This window comes from Homo sapiens, chromosome 4 (assembly GCF_000001405.40).
Source record: "Homo sapiens chromosome 4, GRCh38.p14 Primary Assembly".
Lineage (NCBI taxonomy): Eukaryota > Metazoa > Chordata > Mammalia > Primates > Hominidae > Homo > Homo sapiens.
The window spans coordinates 97,121,394-97,142,321 of record NC_000004.12 but is presented as its reverse complement, the minus strand read 5'-3'; the positions used below and the strand labels follow the sequence as shown (position 1 = coordinate 97,142,321).

General features: G+C 37.3%; 3 annotated features.

The window, feature by feature from the left end:
- Window positions 476-1,057: an enhancer, noted in NCBI's record as "OCT4-NANOG hESC enhancer chr4:98062416-98062997 (GRCh37/hg19 assembly coordinates)". NCBI's record gives its function as "activates a minimal SCP1, AML or CMV promoter by ChIP-STARR-seq in naive H9 embryonic stem cells {active_cell/tissue: H9 hESC(naive)}" and the evidence as "EXISTENCE:reporter gene assay evidence [ECO:0000049][PMID:30033119]".
- Window positions 1,316-2,515: an enhancer, noted in NCBI's record as "BRD4-independent group 4 enhancer chr4:98060958-98062157 (GRCh37/hg19 assembly coordinates)". NCBI's record gives its function as "activates an origin of replication core promoter dependent on BRD2, P300/CBP, MED14 and CDK7 cofactors, and independent of BRD4, by STARR-seq in HCT116 cells {active_cell/tissue: HCT116}" and the evidence as "EXISTENCE:reporter gene assay evidence [ECO:0000049][PMID:35650434]".
- Window positions 17,934-18,434: an enhancer, noted in NCBI's record as "H3K4me1 hESC enhancer chr4:98045039-98045539 (GRCh37/hg19 assembly coordinates)". NCBI's record gives its function as "activates a minimal SCP1, AML or CMV promoter by ChIP-STARR-seq in naive H9 embryonic stem cells {active_cell/tissue: H9 hESC(naive)}" and the evidence as "EXISTENCE:reporter gene assay evidence [ECO:0000049][PMID:30033119]".

The window sequence follows — 20,928 nt, the reverse complement described above, 5'->3', positions numbered from 1 at the left end:
TTTCTTCAAGGAGCTGAACTAAACGAGAAAGGAATAGTTCTATCTAGCCATAGGCAGCCCTAACTTGCCTTCCCTGGTTACCTTACATCTTTGCACTGTCTGATTTCCAGCATTCTAATTGAAAAGGCACTTTGTAGCGAAAAGCTCTGTTTGAGTCACTTTGAAATCATGATCCGCAGGTTTTCTTTCTGGCAAATGTTTCTTAGAGATCACTGAGCTTATTAAACTGTTCTGTGTTCAGAAGCTTCGAAAGTTGAAACAGTCATAATCCAGACACTTTGTTATAGAAAAAAATAGCAGTCAATTCTCCTTGAACTCTTTGGAAAGGGGCTGTGTGCTGGTCTTTCTCTCATGCCATGTATGTTTGGGACCTCAATGCTGTAAATGCAGAAAGCACCTGGTAAATATACATGGTGTCAAATAATAATTATACAGACCAATCTCTGTTCTTCAATGGGAATTATTTTCTCCATGCCACCAAAGAAGAATGGAAACGTATAAAGTATTAGAAATTTTGTAAAGGAGGAAAAATGGTTACATTGGTCTAAAATTTAAATAATCTTTAGATATATAAAGCATTTATAAAGTTTTGACACTTAATAAAATTTTTCACGATTCATTTTCAAATGTTGAAAATAAGATTAATGAATATAATTATAGGTTTGTGTCAGGCCTCTGAGCCCAAGCCTGCACTACACATCCAGATGTCCTGAAGCAAGTGAAGAATCACAAAAGAAGTGAAAATGGCCAGTTCCTGCCTTAACTGATGACATTATCTTGCGAAATTCCTTCTCCTGGCTCTGAAGCTCCCCCACTGAGCACCTTGTGACCTCTGTCCCTGCCCACCAGAGAACAATCCCTTTTGGCTGTAATTTTCCTCTACCTACCCAAATCCTATAAAATGGCCCCACCTCTATCTCCCTTTGCCGACTCTTTTCGGACTCAGCCCGCCTGCACCCAGGTGAAATAAACAGCCTTGCTGCTCACACAAAACCTGTTTGGTGGTCTCTTCACATGGACGCGCGTGAGTTTGTTTCTCTAGTATTTCAATCTATTCCTCACCATTATGTTATGCAATGAGTACTGTCACATAATAATTTTCCTAAGAAATTGATTTTTAATGAAAAGTCTTTGTTTCCACAGTTCTCTTTCAGTAAACAAAAATTGCCTGTTTTATTTTTTTAAGTTTCTTGAGACAGGACAATACTTGAGCTAATTATTAGAGAAAATGGCAAATTTAGAGAATTTAAAGCACAACTTAATAAAAAGCATAATTATTTTCTTCATAGGTGATCACCTTTGATCAAATATTCAGCTGAATTAGCTGCTCCAAGAAATCTTCTCTACTCTGTGTAGTCAGCATGTCATTGAGCATTCAGAACCTCACTAACACGAAACTTGAGGCAGAGAATTCCAGAGTCACCTCCTTATTGATACACATGATCTGTCATGATTAATTTTATGTGTCAACTTGACTGGGCTGAGGGATGCCTAGAGAGCTGGTAAAATATTATTTCTGGGTGTGTCTGTGAGGGCGTTTCTGGAAAAGATTAGCATTTGAATCTGAGTAAAGAGTTGCCCTCACCAACATGGGTGGGCCTCATCCAATCCATCCAGGGCCTGAATAGAACAAAAAAGAATAAAAAGGAAGATTGGGCTAGAGCAGGAACATTTATCTTTTCCTGTCCTTTGACATCAGTGCTCCTGTTTCTTCGGCTTTCAGACTTGTTGGACTCAGACTGTTTTAAGCCATGGCTTTTCTGGTTCTCTAGCTTGTAAATAGATGGCAGATTGTGGGACTTCTCGGCCTTCATAATAATGTAAGCCAATTCCCATCATAAATCCTTCTCTCTCTCTCTCTCTAGAGAATATATATCTATTCTCTCCAGAGAAACAGAACCAGTAGGATATACATATACATAAATTTGTTTGTTTCTCTCTCTCTTGTTCCCTCTCTCTCTTATTTTCTCTCAAAAGAATCTTTTCAGAGAAACAGAACCAATTATCTATGTGATATGTAGTAAATAAAAAGTATATTTTATGTATATAATACATGTTACATATTATATGTATAATATATTAATAGGCATAGCAAAACTACTCCATTTTTCTGTATTTACTTTGTTCTTTATATTGACTTTTCACTTTTCCTCAATATCTTGCTAGATGACTGAACCATGTAACAGTTAACTTGGGACTTTCCTTAGCTGAAGGCTAGAAAACTGTAAATAGGTAGATTCCTGTCAGGCCTCTGAACCCAAGCCAGCCCGTATACATCCAGATGGCCTGAAGCAAGTGAGGAATCACAAACGAAGTGAAAATGGCCGTTTCCTGCTTTAACAGATAACATTCCACCATTGTGATTTGTTCCTGCCCCACCTAAACTGAGTGATTAACCTTGTGAAATTCCTTCTCCTGGCTCAGAAGCTGCCCCACTGAGCACCTTGTGAACCCTGCCACTGCCCGTAAGAGAACAACCCCCTTTGACTGTAATTTTCCACTACCCACCCAAATCCTATAAAGCAGCCCCACCCCTATCTCCCTTCACTGACTCTCTTTTCAGACTCAGCCTGCCTGCACCCAGTTGATTAAAAAGCTTTATTGCTCACACGAAGCCTGTTTGGTGGTCTCTTCACACGGACGCGCATGAAATTTGGTGCCGAAACGTGACTCGCATCAAGGGACCTCCCTTTGGGGACCTCCCTTGGGAGATCAATCCCCTGTCCTCCTGCTCTTTGCTCCCTGAGAACGATCCACCTATGACCACTGGTCCTCAGACCAACCAGCCCAAGGAACATCTCACCAATTTTAAACCGGGTGAGCGGCCTCTGTTTACTCTCTTCTCCAACCTCTCTCACTATCCCTCAACATCTTTCTCCTTTCAATCTTGGCGCCACACTTCAATCTCTCCCTTCTCTTAATTTCAGTTCCTTTTCTTTTCTGGTAGAGACAGAGGAGATGCGTTTTATCCATGAACCCAAAACTCCGCGCAGGTCACCGACTCGGAAAAACAGTCTTCCCTTGGTGTTTAATCACTGCGGGGATGCCTGCCTGATTATTCACCACATTTCAGAGGTGTCTGATCACCGCGTGGACGTCTGCCTTGATCCTTCACCCTTAGTGGCAAGCACCACTTTTCTGGGGGGCAAACACCCCCCCACCCCTTCTCTCCGTGTCTCTACTGTCTCTTTTCTCTGGGCTTGCCTCCTTCACTATGGGCAACCTTCCATCCTCCATTCCTCCCTCTTCTCCCTTAGCCTGTGTTCTCAAAAACTTAAAACCTCTTCAACTCACACCTGACCTAAAACCTAAATGCCTTATTTTCTTCTGCAACACTGCTTGGCCCCAATACAAACTTGATAATGGTTCTAAATGGCCAGAAAACGGCACTTTCAATTTCTCCATCCTACAAGAACTAGATAACTTTTGTTGAAAAATGGGCAAATGATCTGAGGTGCCTGACGTCCAGGCATTCTTTTGCACATTGGTCCCTCCCTAATCTCTGTTCCCAATGCAACTCGTCCCAAATCTTCCTTCTTTCCCTCCTGCCTGTCCCCTCAGTCCCAACCCCAAGTGTTGCTGAGTCTTTTCAATCTTCCTTTTCTACAGAGCCATCTGACCTCTTCCCTCCTCCCCAGGCTGCTCCTCGCCAGGCTGAGCCAGGTCCCAGTTCTTCCTCAGCCTCTGCTCCTCCACCCTATAATCCTTCTATTACCTCCCCTCCTCACACCCAGTCTGGCTTACAGTTTTGTTCTGTGACTAGCCCTCCTCCACCTGCCCAACAATTTCCTCTTAAAGAGGTGGCTGGAGCTAAAGGCATAGCCAAGGTTAATGTTCCTTTTTCTTTATCTGACCTCTCCCAAATCAGATAGCATTTAGGCTCTTTTTCATCAATATAAAAACCCAGTTCATGGCTCATTTGGCAGCAACCTTGAGATTCTTAACAGCCCTAGACCCTAAAAAGTCAGAAGGCCGTCTTATTCTCAATATGTATTTTATTACCCAACCTGCTCCCGACATTAAAAAAGCTCCAAAAATTAGATTCTGGCCCTCAAACCCCACAACAGGACTTAATTAACCTCGCCTTCAAGGTGTACAATAATAGAGACAGCCAAGTAGCAACATATTTCTGAGTTGCAATTCCTTCCGTCCACTGTGAGAGAAACCCCAGCCACATCTCCAGCATACAAGAACTTCCAAATGCCTAAGCTGCAGCAGTCAAGCATTCCTATGGGACCTCCTCCCCCAGGATCTTATTTCAAGTTCCAGAAATCTGGCCACTGGGCCAAAGAATGCCCAGAGCCCGGGATTCCTCCTAAGCTGTGTCCCATCTGTGCAGGACCCTACTGAAAATCAGACTGTCCAAATCACCCGGCAGCCACTCCCAGAGCCCCTGGAACTCTGGCCCAAGGCTCTCTGACTGACCTCTTCCCAGATCTTCTCAGCTTAACAGCTGAAGACTGGTGCTGCCTGATCACCTTGGAAGCCTCCTGGACCATCACAGATGCTTTGGGTAACTCTTACAATGGAGGGTAAGCCCGTCCCCTTCTTAATCAATATGGAGGCTACCCACTCCACATTACCTTCTTTTCAAGGGCCTATTTCCCTTGCGTCCATAACTGTTGTGGGTATTGACGGCCAGGCTCCTAAACCTCTTAAAACTCCCCAACTCTGATGCCAACTAGGACAACATTCTTTTATGCACTCCTTTTTAGTTATCCCCACCTGCCTAGCTCCCTTATTAGGTCGAGACATTTTAACTAAGTTATCTGCTTCCCTGACTATTCCTAGGCTACGACCACACCTCATCACCACCCTTTTCCCCAGTAAAAAGCCTCTTTCACATCCTCTCCTTGTATCTCCCCACCTTAATCCACAAGTATAGGACACCTCTACTCCCTCCTTGGTGACCAATCATACACCCCTTACCATCCCATTAAAACCTAATCACCCTTACCCCTCTCAATGCCAATATCCCATCCCACAGCATGCTTTAAAAGGATTAAAGCCTGTTATCACTCACCTGTTACAGCATGGCCTTTTAAAGCCTATAAACTCTCCTTATAATTCCCCCGTTTTACCTGTCCAAAAAACCAGACAAGTCTTACAGGTTAGTTCAGGTCACCTTGTGACCCCCGCCCCTGCCCATAAGAGAACACACCTTTGACTGTAATTTTCCACTACCCCCCTAAATCCTATAAAATGGCCCCACCCCTATCTCCCTTCACTGACTCTCTTTTTGGACTCAGCTCGCCTGCACCCAGGTGATTAAAAAGCTTTATTGCTCACACAAAGCCTGTTTGGTGGTCTCTTCACACAGATGCATGTGAAAATTTCTTTTTCAAAAAGAAATCTTAGCCAGGTGCAGTGGCTCACAGCTGTAATCCCAGCACTTTGGGAGGCTGAGGCTGGGTGATCACTTGAGGTCAGGAGTTTGAGACCAGCCTGGCCAACATGGTGAAACCCCATATCTGCTAAAAATACAAAAAATTAGCTGGACATGGTGGCGGACACCTGTAATCCTAGTTGCTTGGGAGGCTAAGGCAGGAGAATCTCTTGAACCTGGTATGTGAAGGTTGTAGTGAGCACAGATCATGTCATGGCACTCCAGCCTGGATGACAGAGTGAGACTCTGTCTCAAAAAAGAAATCTCAGTAGGCAAATTTTCTGATTTATACTTTTACCATCAGAAATTTTTCCCTAAGTAGAGTTTATAACTATAAAGATATCATTATTTTTGGCATCATGTTTAAAATTTGATAAATATCAACAAAATAAAAACAAAAAGGTAGTAAATCAAATGTATTTTTTTGTTGTTGTTATGTGCCTGAGAATACACTGAAAGCAACTGTTTGGAAGGCACTTAGTGATTTTAAAAAATATGTAGTATTATTTTAGTATTCCAGAATTATTGTTTATGAGTCTACTAAGAAAACTGAGGACAGAACTGATTACAGTGCAGGCTTTGTTCATACAAAAGCAGATGCAAGAACAAAAGAGAATTGAAAATAAAGCATTAATAAATGACCTAACTTAATGTCTATAGCCAATACAAATTGGATACTGGGTTTATGAGGAAAAACATTTCCATGTTAATGTCCAACTTTCCTCTCTAATGCTGGTAGATGCAGAAAATGTAGATTCTATAAATGGAGCAGAATATGTTTTATATCACTCTGTGCCATTTTTATTTCCTTTCTTCACCTTTCCCTTCCTCCTACTTTCTTTCCACTCCTCACTCTTCCTCTGTCTTTTCTCTTCCTCCTTATTCTTCTTTTCTCCTGTTATTTCCTCTTCCTCCTCTTAACTTTAAACTGAGTATCTACTGATTGGATATATGCTGAGACGGCCTCAAGAAAGTTTTGATTTAAAATTCTTTTTAAGGGATTAATACCATTCCATTCTATATGTATATATAATGTGTTGTGAACAAATGGATAAAGAAATGATGTATATTTGACATACACCAATACGATATATTAGGTGTAGTAAGTTGCAAAATAATTTTTGTCTTGTGCTATTTGTTTCATTATTTCTTTTTTGTATAGTAATTTATTATATTTATACATGTGTTTGTTTTGCTTGCATACATAATAGGTAAGAAAATATCTTTAAAAAACTGATGGAGATATTGGTTGGAGTAATGAGATCTTGGGGACAAAGTGTGGGAGAGACTTTTATTTTGATTATATAACTTCTGGTACCTTCTGAACATGGGAATACAAATACTTTTACAAGGTAGTGATTTTATTTCCTCTGGGTATATAGCCAGAAAAGGGGCTGCCGAGTCATATGGTAATTCTATCTGTAATTTCTTTAGGAACTACCATAATGTTTTCCACAATGGCTGCACTAATCTCCATTCCCACCTACAGTGTAGGAGCAATTTGCCGCAATATGGATGAATATGGATGAATATGCTAAGCGAATTAAGACACACACAGAAAGAAAACTACTGCATGATCTCACATGTAGAATCTTAAAAAAAAGTTGAATACACAGAGATGGAGAATAAAGCAGTGGTAATCAGGAATAGGAGTGCATAGGGAAAAAAATGGGAGATGTAGGTCAAAGGACACAAAGTACCAGATATGTAGGGTGAACAAGTACAGAGATCTAATGTACAAAATGAGGACTATAGTTAATAATACATACGGTATTGTACTTGGGATGTTTAATGCTTAAAGAGTAGATTATAGGTGCCCTGGCCACATAAAAAGGGGTTAACTATGTGAGAGGAGGAATATGTTAATTTGCTTGACTGCAGTAACCATTTTATTATCTCGATGTATATCATGTTGTACATCTTAAATACATACAATTAAACTTTTTAAAAAGAAAGTTTCAGTTTAATCTGTCCAGTTGCTCATCTTTTCACCTCAGCTGAGATTTTTATTAGCCCATAAATAGCACATACATAATTTCTTCTTATTATAAAATAATTGAAATATATTAATAATCAAAAAGTTGGCATTTTCACTTTGCAAATCAAAGAAAGCTCAAATGTGCACCAAAATAACCATATATAAATGAGACAGGCTGTGCAGTTTAACCAGATTGTTGATTCTGGTTTCATTCCATTGTAGACCACAGATGTCTCAGCTAAAAGTCTTGTCTGGATGAATTGAGTGCTGGTTTGAGGGGAGAAGTCCTCAGCAGGAGGTGGCTGATTATAATGGAGGTCCTTGACAGTGTTTGAAATAGCAGCAGCAACCAGAAGTCCTAGGACAAGAAAAAATGAAGAATCCCATCTGAAAACGTTTGGTTTGTATGAGGTACTACATTGTACTAACTCTGGGCAAGAACAGTGACTCTAGCAATGCTGTGAATAGTCATCAACGAGGATGTCTCTGCTTAGAATTTTATGCCTAACATGCAAAAGATAGTTTGGGCAAGCACACACTAATCAATAGGTTACTTTCAAATTATAAAGTCATTGGTGATCAGTATTTACATCTGATCTGCTTTTATATTCTCATGTGGTAATGTAGAAAAACAGACAAATTTAAAATCAGGTCCTCTGAGTTCCACTCCAGGCACAACATAGATAATAGAATGAGATTGTTTCCGTAATGAAACAACACAATAGCCTTCCTGAATAATTATGGATATGCAGCTTTTTGCTATATACATATCAATCTCCAATATAGAAACTCCAGAAAAGAGCTACCATTTAAAAATCCCATTAAGTTATTAGATAATCACGATGTTGATTATATGGAACGGATAATCAGACTGTTTAAAATAACCAATAATTCCTATCTGCCTCTCCATAAATTTAGGACCAATGTTTGATGAAACTCGACATCAATTATGGATGAAAACTCTTAATAAAATGGAAGTAGATGTAAAATTTCTTAAATATATAAGTATATATATTTATGAAGCCTAATATGTATAGCAAAGTTAACATGTTCAAACCTAAGCTCTTGATCATCTCCCAAGCTCTTTCTCTACTTATAATCATCTCCATCTAGGTTAAGGTGACTGCATCCTTCCAGTTTTAAGAAAATTAGAATAATTCTTGACACCCAGAAGTTCCTGTCAGTTCTACCTTCAAATCAATTCAGAATCTGACTACATTTTTCCACTTCTAGTGCTAAAAATTTGGAACTAGTTATCAAAGAGAATGAGGCAGCTGTATTAGCAATAATATAGAAAGACCAATATGATATATTAAGTGTCATAAGTTGCAAAATAATTTTTATCTTGTGCTACCATTTTTGTTTCATTATTTCTTTTGTGTATAGTAATGTATTATATTTATACATGTGTTTGTTTTGCTTGCATAGATAATAGGTAAGAAAATATCTTTGAAAGACTGATGGAGAAATTGGTTGGGGTAATGAGTTCTTTTGGAGCAAAGTGTAGGAGAGGATTTTATTTTGATTATATAACTTCTGATACCTTCTCTATTTTACACCAAGTGAATGTATGACTAACTTTTAAAAATAAAATTTTAGAAGACTGTGATTATCCAATAAAATATTTTGCTTATTTTTCTCTCAGTGATTAATCAACTATTTGGTGCTTTTGAAAGGTAAATATCTTAAGATATAGATCAATTTTCATAATAAAATAGGTGAAAAACCAATTTAATATTATGTGATATAGATAAAAATTACACTATGATCATTTTATGTCACTACCTTACATAGAGAATGTAGTTGTTAGAAATTGAAGAGAAATTACTTAAGCCATTATGTTTCATATCTAGTAAAAGTGAGACGAAATTAAGAAAATGGAATGTATGTTTTTTGTATAAAAGGAAAAAATCATAAAACCCATTAAATGAATAATGTGTCAAGTGATGTTTCAGGGAAAGTGATAGAAATCATGTCTCTGAAGACAATTGTAACTGAAATGGACAAAGTGCTAGAAATATCCTTTAGGGAATAATTCTGCTATCAGCAGGAAGAATACATGACTTCAAAGAATAGTTACTTTCTTCTTCCTCAATGATCCAGTACTACGATTATGAGCAGCAATTAACTCTAAGAAAACAGGGAAGTTGGATGAAAAGAATTGTATCTAAAATGTTGGATAATTAAAGTAAATGAAACAGGAAGCATCGACTGGGGACATAAAATGTGCTACTCTAGCAGAGCTATTAACTATTGCATTAGAGCCCCTAAATCATATGCGCTTTTTACCTTCAATGACTTAGGTCAAACTGGATCTTCCTACTAAAGGAGCCAAGAGAGCTTAATGTTTCAGCTGTTGATGCCAGTGACAAAGAGACCTTAAGATATACTTCAAGGAAGATGTATGATAAAGAAGGCATATGCTTTTCTCCATTAGTGTGGCAGGTCAAAATATCATTCAATTTATTTCTGAAAGTGTTTTTTTTATTATTATTATTATAACGGATACAGATCATCATTTAAGTCAGTTCACTAGCATTTTATTACAGTTTTAGGAAAAGAAAGGGAAAGCCTTCCAGGGATGACTCACAGGCATTTTTGAAAAGTGGTAGTATTGCTTCAGAATTCTTAAAATCTTCAGTATGTGTTTCAATATAGAACGTGTGGGTGCTGCAACTGAGGCTTTCTGTTGCTGTTTTAACTACATATTGCACAAAAAATGTTTACAGAATCTGCATCAAACATATTTTGAAATTTCAGAGAAGAGGTAGTATATTCAGTGCTACCATTGAGTGCTAAACAGAGGCAATAAACATGAAGTCGAATACCTGTAAAATACTAGTAAATACTATTATAATACTACTATGTACTGTGTAATTATGGAGCCATGTACACATTAAGGCTATTTCCTCATGCCACAGAATACTTGCATTAGAAAAATAAATTATCTAGATGTTATACTTGATTTTATGCAGAAGAAAAAAACATGAATTCAATTGTTTAGTTGTATCCTTGATGATTTAATGACATAGATACTATAGATATTATGGTATTTTTGGTCAGAAACAAGATGTTTGGGGACGTAGATAAAACAACTAACATAATTTAAAGTGAAAGACGGAAATTGAGTAGTTACATTTTGAATCCAGAAGATAAAATGAGTATTATATAAATTATAGTAATGCACAAACATGGCAATTATTGGATAATAATGCAATATTTTGAGGTTGCAATTTACTGCAGAAATAAGGCCATCTAGAATTAGAATCACCAGGAAAGAAATGTAATTGTTAATCTGTTTTGTTTCTTTTGATACTGTATTAGCCAGAGTTCTCTAGAGGGACAGGACTAATAAGATAGATGTATATATGAAAGGGAGTTTATTAAGGAGTATTGACTCACACAATCACAAGGTGAAGTCCCACATAGGCTGTCTGCAAGCTGAGGACAAGGAAGCCTGTTTGAGTCCTCAAACCTCAAAAGTAGGGAGGCCAACAGTGCAGCCTTCAATCTGTGGCTGAAGGTCTGAGAGCCCCTAGCAAACCACTGGTGTAAGCCCAAGAGTCCAAAAGCTGAAGAACTTGGAATCTGATGTTTGAGGGCAGGAAGCATCCGGCATGGGGGAAAGATGAAGGCTGGAGAACTCAGCCAGTCTAGTCCTTCCACGTTCCTCTGCCTGCTTTTATCCTAGCCGTGCTGTCAGCTGATTAGATAAGTTGCTTCAGGGTGGGTCTTCCTCTACCAGTCCACTGACTCAAATGTTAGTCTCCTTTGGAAACACTCTCACAGACACACCCAGGAACAATACTTTGCATCCTTTAATCCCATCTAGTTGACAATATTAACCATCACAGAGAGGTAGCTGCCTAACGGTAACTATTAATCATGTGTTAGTGTGGTAATGTATAAGGATGGAATGGTATCATCCTAATGAGAATGAATGATCATTAAGATGCATAAAGAAAAGCTCTGGCTCTGGCTTGGAGTGAGATTGGCTTGCTTTTTTCCCATCATGTTTTTTTCAGGGGTTTACAGTTCCACCTTGCAGATGCACCCACAAGCCCCCTGGAGCATTTTATGTGTTCTATCAGGGAAGTGTCACACAAATGTTTGGAGAAGGGACACTGGACAGAGTCCTAATTGTGACTCCTATATCTGCCACTTTCCATCTCTGAGCAAGTGGCTTTTCTGTAGCTTAGTTTCATTACCTTAAAATGAGGATAATAACAGTACCAAACTTACAGTTTAATTTAAGGACTCAAAGACTTGATGCATGAGAAAATAAACTAGAAAAAGCCTATCACTTAAGATACTTTTTATAAATGTTAGTTACCATTCTTTTCTTTCAATTTTTATTATAGGTACAGGGCATACATGTGCAGGTTTGTTATATGGGTAATTTTCATGTCATGGAGATTTGGTGTACCTTCATGATTGTTTTGTTACCCAGGTAATCAGCATAATACACAAAGGTGGTTTTTACATCTTCACCCTTCTTCCACCTTCCACCCTCAAGTAGGCCTTGGAGTCTATTGTTCCCTTCTTTGTGTCCATGTGTACTTGATGTTTAGCTCTTAATTATAAGTGAGAACATGGAACAAGGTGGCATTTGGTTTTCTGTTTCTGTGTTACTTTGCTTAGGCTAATGTCCTCCAGCTCTGTCTATATTGCTGCAAAGGACATGATTTTCTTTTTTATGGCTGTGTAACATTCCATGGTGTATATGTACCACATTTTCTTTATCAAGTCTACTGTTGATGGGCATTTAGGTTCTATGTGTTTGCTATTGTGAATAGTGCTGCAATGAGCATACGCATGCATGTGTTTTTATGGTAGAACGATTTATTTTCTTCTGGTATATACTCAGTAATGGGATTGCTGGGTCGAATCATTGTTCTAAGTTCTTTGAGAAATTGCCAAGCTGCTTTCCACAGTGACTAAACTAATATACATTCCCACCCACAGTGTATAAGTGTTCTCTGTTCTCTGTATCTTCATCTGTTATTTTCTGACTTTTTAATAATAGCTATTTTGACTGGTTGTGAGATGGTATCTCATTTTGATTTTGATTTGCGTTTTTCTAATTATTAGTGATTCTGAGCACTTTTTCATATGCTTGTTGACCATGTGTATGTCTTCCTTTGACAAGCATCAGTTCATGCCCTTTGCCCACATTTTAATGGGGTTGTTGGATTTTTGCCTGTTAATTTGAGTTCCTTAAGGATTCTAGATATTAGACCATTGTTAGATGCACAATTTGCAAATATTTTCTGCCATTCTATAGGTTGTTTACTCTGTTGATAGTTTCTTTTTCTGTGCAGAAATGGTTTAGTTTAATTAGGTCCCATTGGTCAATTTTTATTTTGTTGCAATTATTTTTGATGCCTTGATCATGAAATCTTTGTCAGGGCGAACATCCAGAATTGGTATTTCCTGGGTTTTCTTTCTGGGTTTTTATTTTAGGTTTTACATTTTAGGCTTTAATCCATCTTGGCTTCATTTTTCATATATGATATAAGGAAGGGGTTCAGTTCCAATCTTCTGCATACGGCTAGCCAGTATCATAGCAGCATTTGTTGAATAGGAAGTCCATTCCCCATAGTTTGTTTTTGACAATTTTGTCAAAGATCAAATGGTTATAGGTGTGTGACTTTATTTCTGGGCTAGCTATTCTGTCTCATCCATCTATGTGTCTGTTTTTGTACTACTATTGTGCTGTTTGGGTTACCGTACCCTTGTAGTATAATTTGAAGTCAGGTAACGTGATGCTTCAGCTTTATTCTTTTAATTTGGGATTCCTTTGGATAGTTAGGCTCTTTCTAGATTCCATATGAATTTTAAATTAATTTTGTCTTTTTAAAAGAGTTTTGTCTTAATTCTGTAAAAAATATCACTGGTAGTTTAATAGGAATAGCATTGAATCTGTAAATTGCTTTAGGCAGTATTTATTCTTTCTATCCCTGAGCATGTGATGTTTTTCCATTTGTCTGTGTCATCTCTGATTTCTTTCTGTAGTATTTTATACTTCTTTTTCTAGATCTCTCACCTCCCTGGTTAGCTGTATTCCTAGGTATTTTATTTTATTTTATTTTGTTTTATTTTATTTTTGTGGCTATTGTGAATGGGATTGCATTTTTTTTTTTTTTACGTTAAGTTCTAGGATACATGTGCAGAATGTGTAGGTTTGTTACGTAGTTATACATGTGCCATGGTGGTTTGCTGTACCTATCAACCCATCACCGAGGTTTTAAGCCCCACATGCATTAGCTATTTGTCCTGATGCTCTCCCTCCCCCTTCCCCAACAGCCCCAGGTGTGTGTTGTTCCCCTTCCTGTGTCTATGTGTTCTCATTGTTCAGCTCACACTTACGAGTAAGAACATGTGATGTTTGGTTTTCTGTTCCTGTGTTAGTTTGCTGAGAATGATGGCTTCCAACTCCATCTATGTCCCTGCAAATGACATGATCTCATGCCTTTTTATAGCTGCATAATATTCTATGGTGTATATGTACCGCATTTTCTTTATGCAGTCTATCAATTGATGAGCATTTGAGTTGGTTCCATGTGTTTGTTATTGTGAATACTGCTGCAATAAACATACATGTGCATGTATCTTTATAGAATAATGATTTATATTGCTTTAGATATATATTCAGTAATGGGATTGCTGGGTCAATGTTAGAGAAATGTAAATCAAAACCACAATAAGATACCATCTCAATGCGAGTCAGAAGAGCGATTATTAGTGTCAGGAGACAACAGATGCTAGCGAGGCAGTGGAGAAATAGGAACTCTTTTTCATTGTTGGTGGGAATGTAAGTTAGTTCAACCATTGTGGAACGCAGTGTGGTGGTTCCTCAGGGATCTAGAACCAGGGATTGCATTCTTGATTTGGTTTTTAGATTAGCTGTTGGTGGTGTATATAAATGCTAGTAATTTTTGTACATTAATTTTGTTACCTGAAACTTAGCTAAAGTTGTTTATCATATCTAGGAGCTCTTGGTCAAAGACAATGGGGTTATCTAAGTATAAAATCACAGCATCTGGAGAGACAGTTTGACTTCCTCTTTTCCTATTTGGATGGTTTTTATTTCTTTGTCTTTCCTGATTGCTCTGGGTAGGAATTCCAGTACTACGCTGAATAGGATTAGTGAGAATAGGCATCCTTGCCTTGTTTCAGTTCTCAAGGGAATGCTTTCAGGTTTTGGCTATTCAGTATGAGGTTGGCTGTGGGTTTGTCATAGATGGCTCTTATTATTTTGAGGTATGTTCCATCAATATCTAGTTTGTTGAGAATTTTTATTATGAAGGGATGTTGAATTATTGAAAGCCTTTTCTGCATTTGTTGAAATGATCATGTGTTTTTTATTTTTACCTTTGTTTACATGATGAATCACATTCATTGAGTTATATATGTTGAACCAACCTTGCGTCCCATAAATAAAGGTTACCTGATCGTAGTGGATTAGCTTTTTTGTGTACTGCTGAATTTGGTTTGCTAGTATTTTGCTGGGGAATTTTGCATCTAGGTTCATCAAAGATATTGGCCTGAAGTTTTCTTTTGTTGTCATGTCTCTGCCAGATTTTAGTATCAGAAAAATAGTGGCTTCATAAAATTAGTTAGGGAAAAGTCCCTTCTCTTCAATTTTTTTTGGAATAGTTTCAGTAGGGATGGTCCCAGCTTTTCTTTATACATCTGGTAGAATTTGATTGTGAATCTGGTCCAGGGTTTTTTTCTGGTTGGTAGGTTTTTAGTTACTGATTCAATTTCAGAACTTGTTTTGGCTTTTTCAGGGTTTCAGCTTCTTCCTGTTTCAATCATGGGAGCTTGTTTATTTCCAGAATTGTATCAATTTTTTTCTAGGTTTTCTAGTTTGTGTGTATAGAGGTGTTTTTAATGGTCTTGGGGGTATTTTTGTATTTCTGTGGCATTGATTTTCTTTCTGTCATTTCTGATTGTGTTTATTTAGATCTTCTGTTTTTTTTTAAATTAGTCTAACTAGTGGTCTATCAGTCTTATCTATTCTTTCATAAAATAAGCCTAATTTCCCTGATCTTTTGAATGTTTTTTAAATCACAATTTAATTAAGTTTACCTCTGTTAGTCATTGCTCTTCTCCTGCTAGCTTTGGGGTTGGTTTGCTCTTGTTTTTCTGGTTAGCTAATTAATTTGAGATCTTTCTAACATTTGATGTAGACATCTAGTGTTATATACTTTCCTGTTAACACTGCTTTAGCTGGGTCTCAAAGATTCTGGTTTGCATCTTTGTTTCCATTAGTTTCAAAGAAATTCTTGATTTCTACCTTAACTTCATTGTTTATTCAAAAGTAACTCAGGAGCAGGTTGTTTAACTTGCATATAATTGTATAGTTTTGAGTGATCTTACCAGTCTAGATTTCCATTTTTATTTATCTGTGGTCTAAGAGTGTGGTTAGTGTCATTTCAGTTTTTTTGAATTTGCTTTTGGCTATTCAGTATGAGGTTGGCTGTGGGTTTGTCATAGATGGCTCAATTTTTACGTTGATTTTCAAGTATGTGTCATGTGCAAATGAGAATAATTCATATTCTTCTGTTTTTTATGGAGTTTTCTGTACATGTATGTTTGGTCCATTTGCTCACGTTTTGAGTTCATGTCTTGAATATCTTTGGTAGTTTTCAGCCTTGAAGATTTTTCTAATACTGATCAGTAAGGTGTTTGTTCTTTCATTGCTATACAGAAATAATGGAGACTGGATAATTTATAAAAAGAGGTTTAATTGGCTAAAAGTTCTGAAGGATGCACAGAAGCATGGCACTAACATGTGCTTGGCTTCTGGGGAAGCCTAAAAGAACTTACTCATGGCAAAAGGTGAAGTGGCAGCAGGCATCTCACATTGCAGGGTGGGAGCAAGGTGGAAGGTGGTGCCACACACTTTTAAATGACCAGATGTTATGAGAACTCACTCCCTGTTTCAAGGACAGCACCAAGCCATGAGGGATTCTCACCACCCCATAACCCATACAGCTCCCACCAGGCCCCACTTCCAACAATGCTATTACATCTGTACATGAGATCTAGGGGAGACATTCACACTGTATCAGTCTCCTAGTATTATTTTGTGGTTATCTAACTCCCTTCACAGGTGTCTAGGAGTCTGTTTTATAAATGTGGTTGCCCCTGTGCTGAGTGCATATATATATTTAGAATAGCTAAGTCTTGTTGAATGGAATCTTTACTATGACATAAAGTCTTTTTTTTTTATCGTTGTTCATTTAAAATCTGTTTTGTCTGAAATTAGAATAGCAACTCCTGCTTTTTTTGTTTTCTGTTTGCTTGGTAGATTTTCCTCTATCTCTTTACTTTGAGCCTATGCATATCATTGCATGTAAGATGAGTCTCTTGAAGACAGCATACAGTTGGGTCTTGTTTCTTTATTCAACTTGCCATTCCATGCCTTTTAATTGGGTGCATTTAGCATGTTTACATTTAAGGCTAATATTGACTTGTGTGGATTTGATCCTGTCATCATATTGTTAGCTGGTTATTATACAGACTTGATTGTGTAGTTGCTTTATGGTGTCAATGATCTACATACTTAACTGTGTTTTTGTGTGGCCAGTAATGGTCTTTCATTTCCCTATTGAACACTCCCTTTAGAACCAATAGTAAGACAAGTTTTTTAGTAACAAATTCCCTTAGCATTTTCTTGTCTGAAAAGGGTCTTATTTCTCTTTTGCTTATGAAGCTTACTTTGGCTGGATATGAAATTATTGGTTGGAATTTCTTTTCTTTAAGAATGCTGAATATAGGCCACCAATCTCTTGTGGCTTATGGTGTTTCTGCTGAAAGGTCCACTGTTAGCCTGATAAGGTTCCCTTTGTAGATGACCTGTCCCTTCTCTCTAGCTACCTTTAATATTTTTTCTTTCATCCTGACTTTGAAGAATCTGATGACTCTGTGTTGTGGTGATGATTGTCTTGTACAGTATCTCATAGGGGTTCTCTGTATTTTCTGAATTTGAATGTTGGTTACTCCAGTGAGGTTGGAGAAATTTTTGTGGATGACCTATTCAAATATGTTTTACAAGTTGTTTGCTTTCTCTTCCTCTCTTTCAGGTATACCAATTAATAGTTGATTTAGTCTCTTTACATGATCCTGTATTTCTCAGAGGTTTTGTTCATTCTTTTTCTTTATTTTTGTCTGACTAGGTTAATTGGTAGAACCAATCTTCGAGCTCTGAGATTCATTCCTCAGTTTGGTCTGTTTGAGGTTTATATTTGCAATTTGTTATGAAATTCTTGCAGTGAATTTTTCATCTCTATAAAATCAGTTTGATGCTCCTTGAAATGACTATTTTGTCTTTCAGGTCCTGTATCATTTTATTGTATTCTTTAGAATCCTTGGGTTGAGTTTTGACTTTCTCCTGAGTCTTAATGGTCTTCATTCCTATTCCCATTTTGAATTCTATGTCTGTATTTTCAGTCATTTCAGCCTGTTTAAAAACCATTGCTGGGAATCTAGTGTGGTCATTTGAAGGTAAGACGACACTCTGGCTTTTTGAGTTTCCAGAGTTCTTGCAATGATTATTTCTTATCTGTGTGGGCTGATGTTCCTTTAGTCTTTGAAGTTGCTGTCCTTTCAGTGGGATTTTTCGCTTTTATCTTCTTTGTTGCCCTTGAGGGTTTGACTGTGGTATAAGGTGGGTTCAGTTAACTGTCTTCATTTCTGGAACATTTCAGGGTGCCAAGGCTCAGCTCAGCACTCCTTGGCTGCATGTTTTAACTCTTGGGGGCTGGTGCTGGGCCCCTGGCTTTTTTCTCTCACCCCTCAAGATTAGGAACCTACCGCACTAGAGAAACCAAGGTGCTCCTGGTACACTAGCTACAATAATGCAAGGGCAGGCACAGGAGTACAGCATGGTGCATACACGTCATCAAGGATGGGGCCCCAGGGGTGGAGGGACAGCAGGCTGTATGCCCATGCATGCACTGCAGGAGGGGCTTGGGAAGGCAAGATCTGCCCATGCGCATGTGCCAACAAAGAAGTGATGGGGGGCTGTGTGTTTGTATGTGCTGGTAAAGCTGGCAAGGATGCTATAAAGGGAGACTGCAAGTGCGTGGTTGTGCACTGGCATGTGCTAGCCTGCTGGAGTTCTCGGATGGTTAGGTATGGTCTGCCAGTGAAGGAGCTGTGATGTCAGCACCTGAGAAGCACTCTGGTTTGGCATCCGAGGCTACAGTGCAAGCAGCTGTGGCCACACTAGGGCCCCAGGAGAGGCTGGCAGACAGAAAGACAATGCTATGTGAAAAAATACACATAGTTTCAAAAAGCACTTGAAAATTCAAACAAAACAAATGACTGCTTCAATGTGCTTAGTCCAAATTTTGAAGTAAATGCTTTTAAATGCATTAGAGAAAATTGTCTGATAAACAAACGTTCCTGGACATTATGGCTAAACGCTAGCTTCTTTTTTCTTGAGTCTGGCCTAATTGACTACACAGAACTGAAAATAATGAGAAAGCCCTCATTAATTATGCTTTTAAATCCCAGCTACCTCAGGAGCCTGAGGCAGGAGACTCATTTGAGCCCAGGAATTTGCTACCAACATGGGCAACATAACATGACTCCTGTCTCAAAATAATGATAATAATAATAATAACGTTCTGAATCTTAACTCTGTATTTATATATAATTTTCATTATTCTTCCTACACTTTTCTCTCATTAAGACAAATTCCATTTTCAGAATGTGGAAATGTATTTTAGTAGAACAAATGAAACTTAAGTTTGTAGATCTAGGCTTACATTTACAGAGCATATTAACAACTGTTTATATATTTTTATGCCAGATATAATTTTAAGCTATTGTAATTTCTTCATTGTAGAATTATAGGTGGTTATCATTTTACTTTTTTCATTTGGCTTCATATTTTATAATGAATAAAATATATAATTCTTATATAATATATAATACAGTAATTTTTTAAACCTAATGAATATAAATATATTAATGTTATACCTACCTATGTATTTCAGGTTATATGACAAATTTTAATTTTGTATTAAATCCATATTATACAAATAAAGCAGATTTTCATTAAATTCTATTTTTGGTATAAGTAATGTCTTTAATTCTTATTAATACATGATACTTTTTAATAAGTATCATTTTAAATGGATATTGGCAAACAATTGTATTTAAATAAAAGTACAACTACAACTGTTACTTTTAAATTTTAGGAAGGAAAATCTTTTCCTGTCTTTCTGAATGTTTCCCTTTTCATAAAAATGACAAAAATATGTGAAATAGAATCAAATTATGAATTTAATTGTGATTTTTAAAAATTGCCCTCCATAGACACAGTCTTCATAATGATTACCACATACTAGTCATCTAGTCCATATAAATATAAATCCAAAATTCACTCAGTGTTCACCTACATTGTGCATTACTTTACGCTATTTAGGTGAACTATTTGGAAACATTTAAATATTTGAAAAATATGGCTTACTAGGAAGGAGCTTCAAACCTTGAGAAATTGGGCATGAAAAGTAGCTCTTATATTCATTATTATTATTGCATATTGTATCTTAAATTTGGGGTGAACTTCTATCTAACTTGTTACCTTTTACGACTTTTGCCCTGGACCTGGAGAGTGGCAGGAGCTTGGAGGAAGAAGATTTGGATACAGAGGATCCCAAGGCTTAGAGATCTTACAATCTCCTCAATCACAAAGGAATCAATTAAGTCAGTAATGATAGGACAATATCTTCTTAATAGTGTCTTTAGGGATTCCCTCATCAGACTATGGTGCAATCAGCTGCCCCAAATAACAAAACTGTAATTTGTTGCAAACCTTTTTTGGAGAGGAACCACTGAAAGCTAACCTTGGTTTAGTTTCAGAATCTATATTTTGTTTCTACCTCAGTTACTACTGTAGGGGAGAAAAAATAATTTTCTCTCTACTCCTTATAGTTCCTAGCTGGGACAGACCCTTGTAATTAAAGACAGATTAACAAAAGAAAAACAGACAGAAGTTTATTAGCATGCATATTTAATGTATACATGGGAAATGTGCAGTGAATTCTTGAAGAGGGGCTTAGAAATCCGGCTTATAGAACATCCTCAATAAGACTTGTATATTTTTAGAGAAGTGATAAGATAAAGAAAAAGGACTTTGAGTCTCTAGGGATGGCAAATTGTGAGGAGGCAAATAAATGAGGGTTTGTCATGTAGATTTCTCCAGTGCCATCTCTAGGCTGACAAGAGCCTTAAGTAGTCCTCAGAGATTAACCTTTGTCCTCCCCAGTAGAGAAGGGAGGAGGAACACCTTTATAAATTTACATTTTTCTTTTAGGCAAATAGGGGAGGGCAAAGAGCTTTTCCTGTATCTGCTTCTTCTAATTGCCTTTAGATCAAAACAATCCTTATGCAAAAGAGGTATATTTTAGGGTGGCATAGTATGGTCTCCTACACTACTATCCCTTTTTCTTAATGTGTCTTGCACCTAAATTCTTTCTTGATTATTTTTGTAACTATAGCTTAGCTCTGCAATTTGGCAAACTGATTCATCCATGTGAACAAT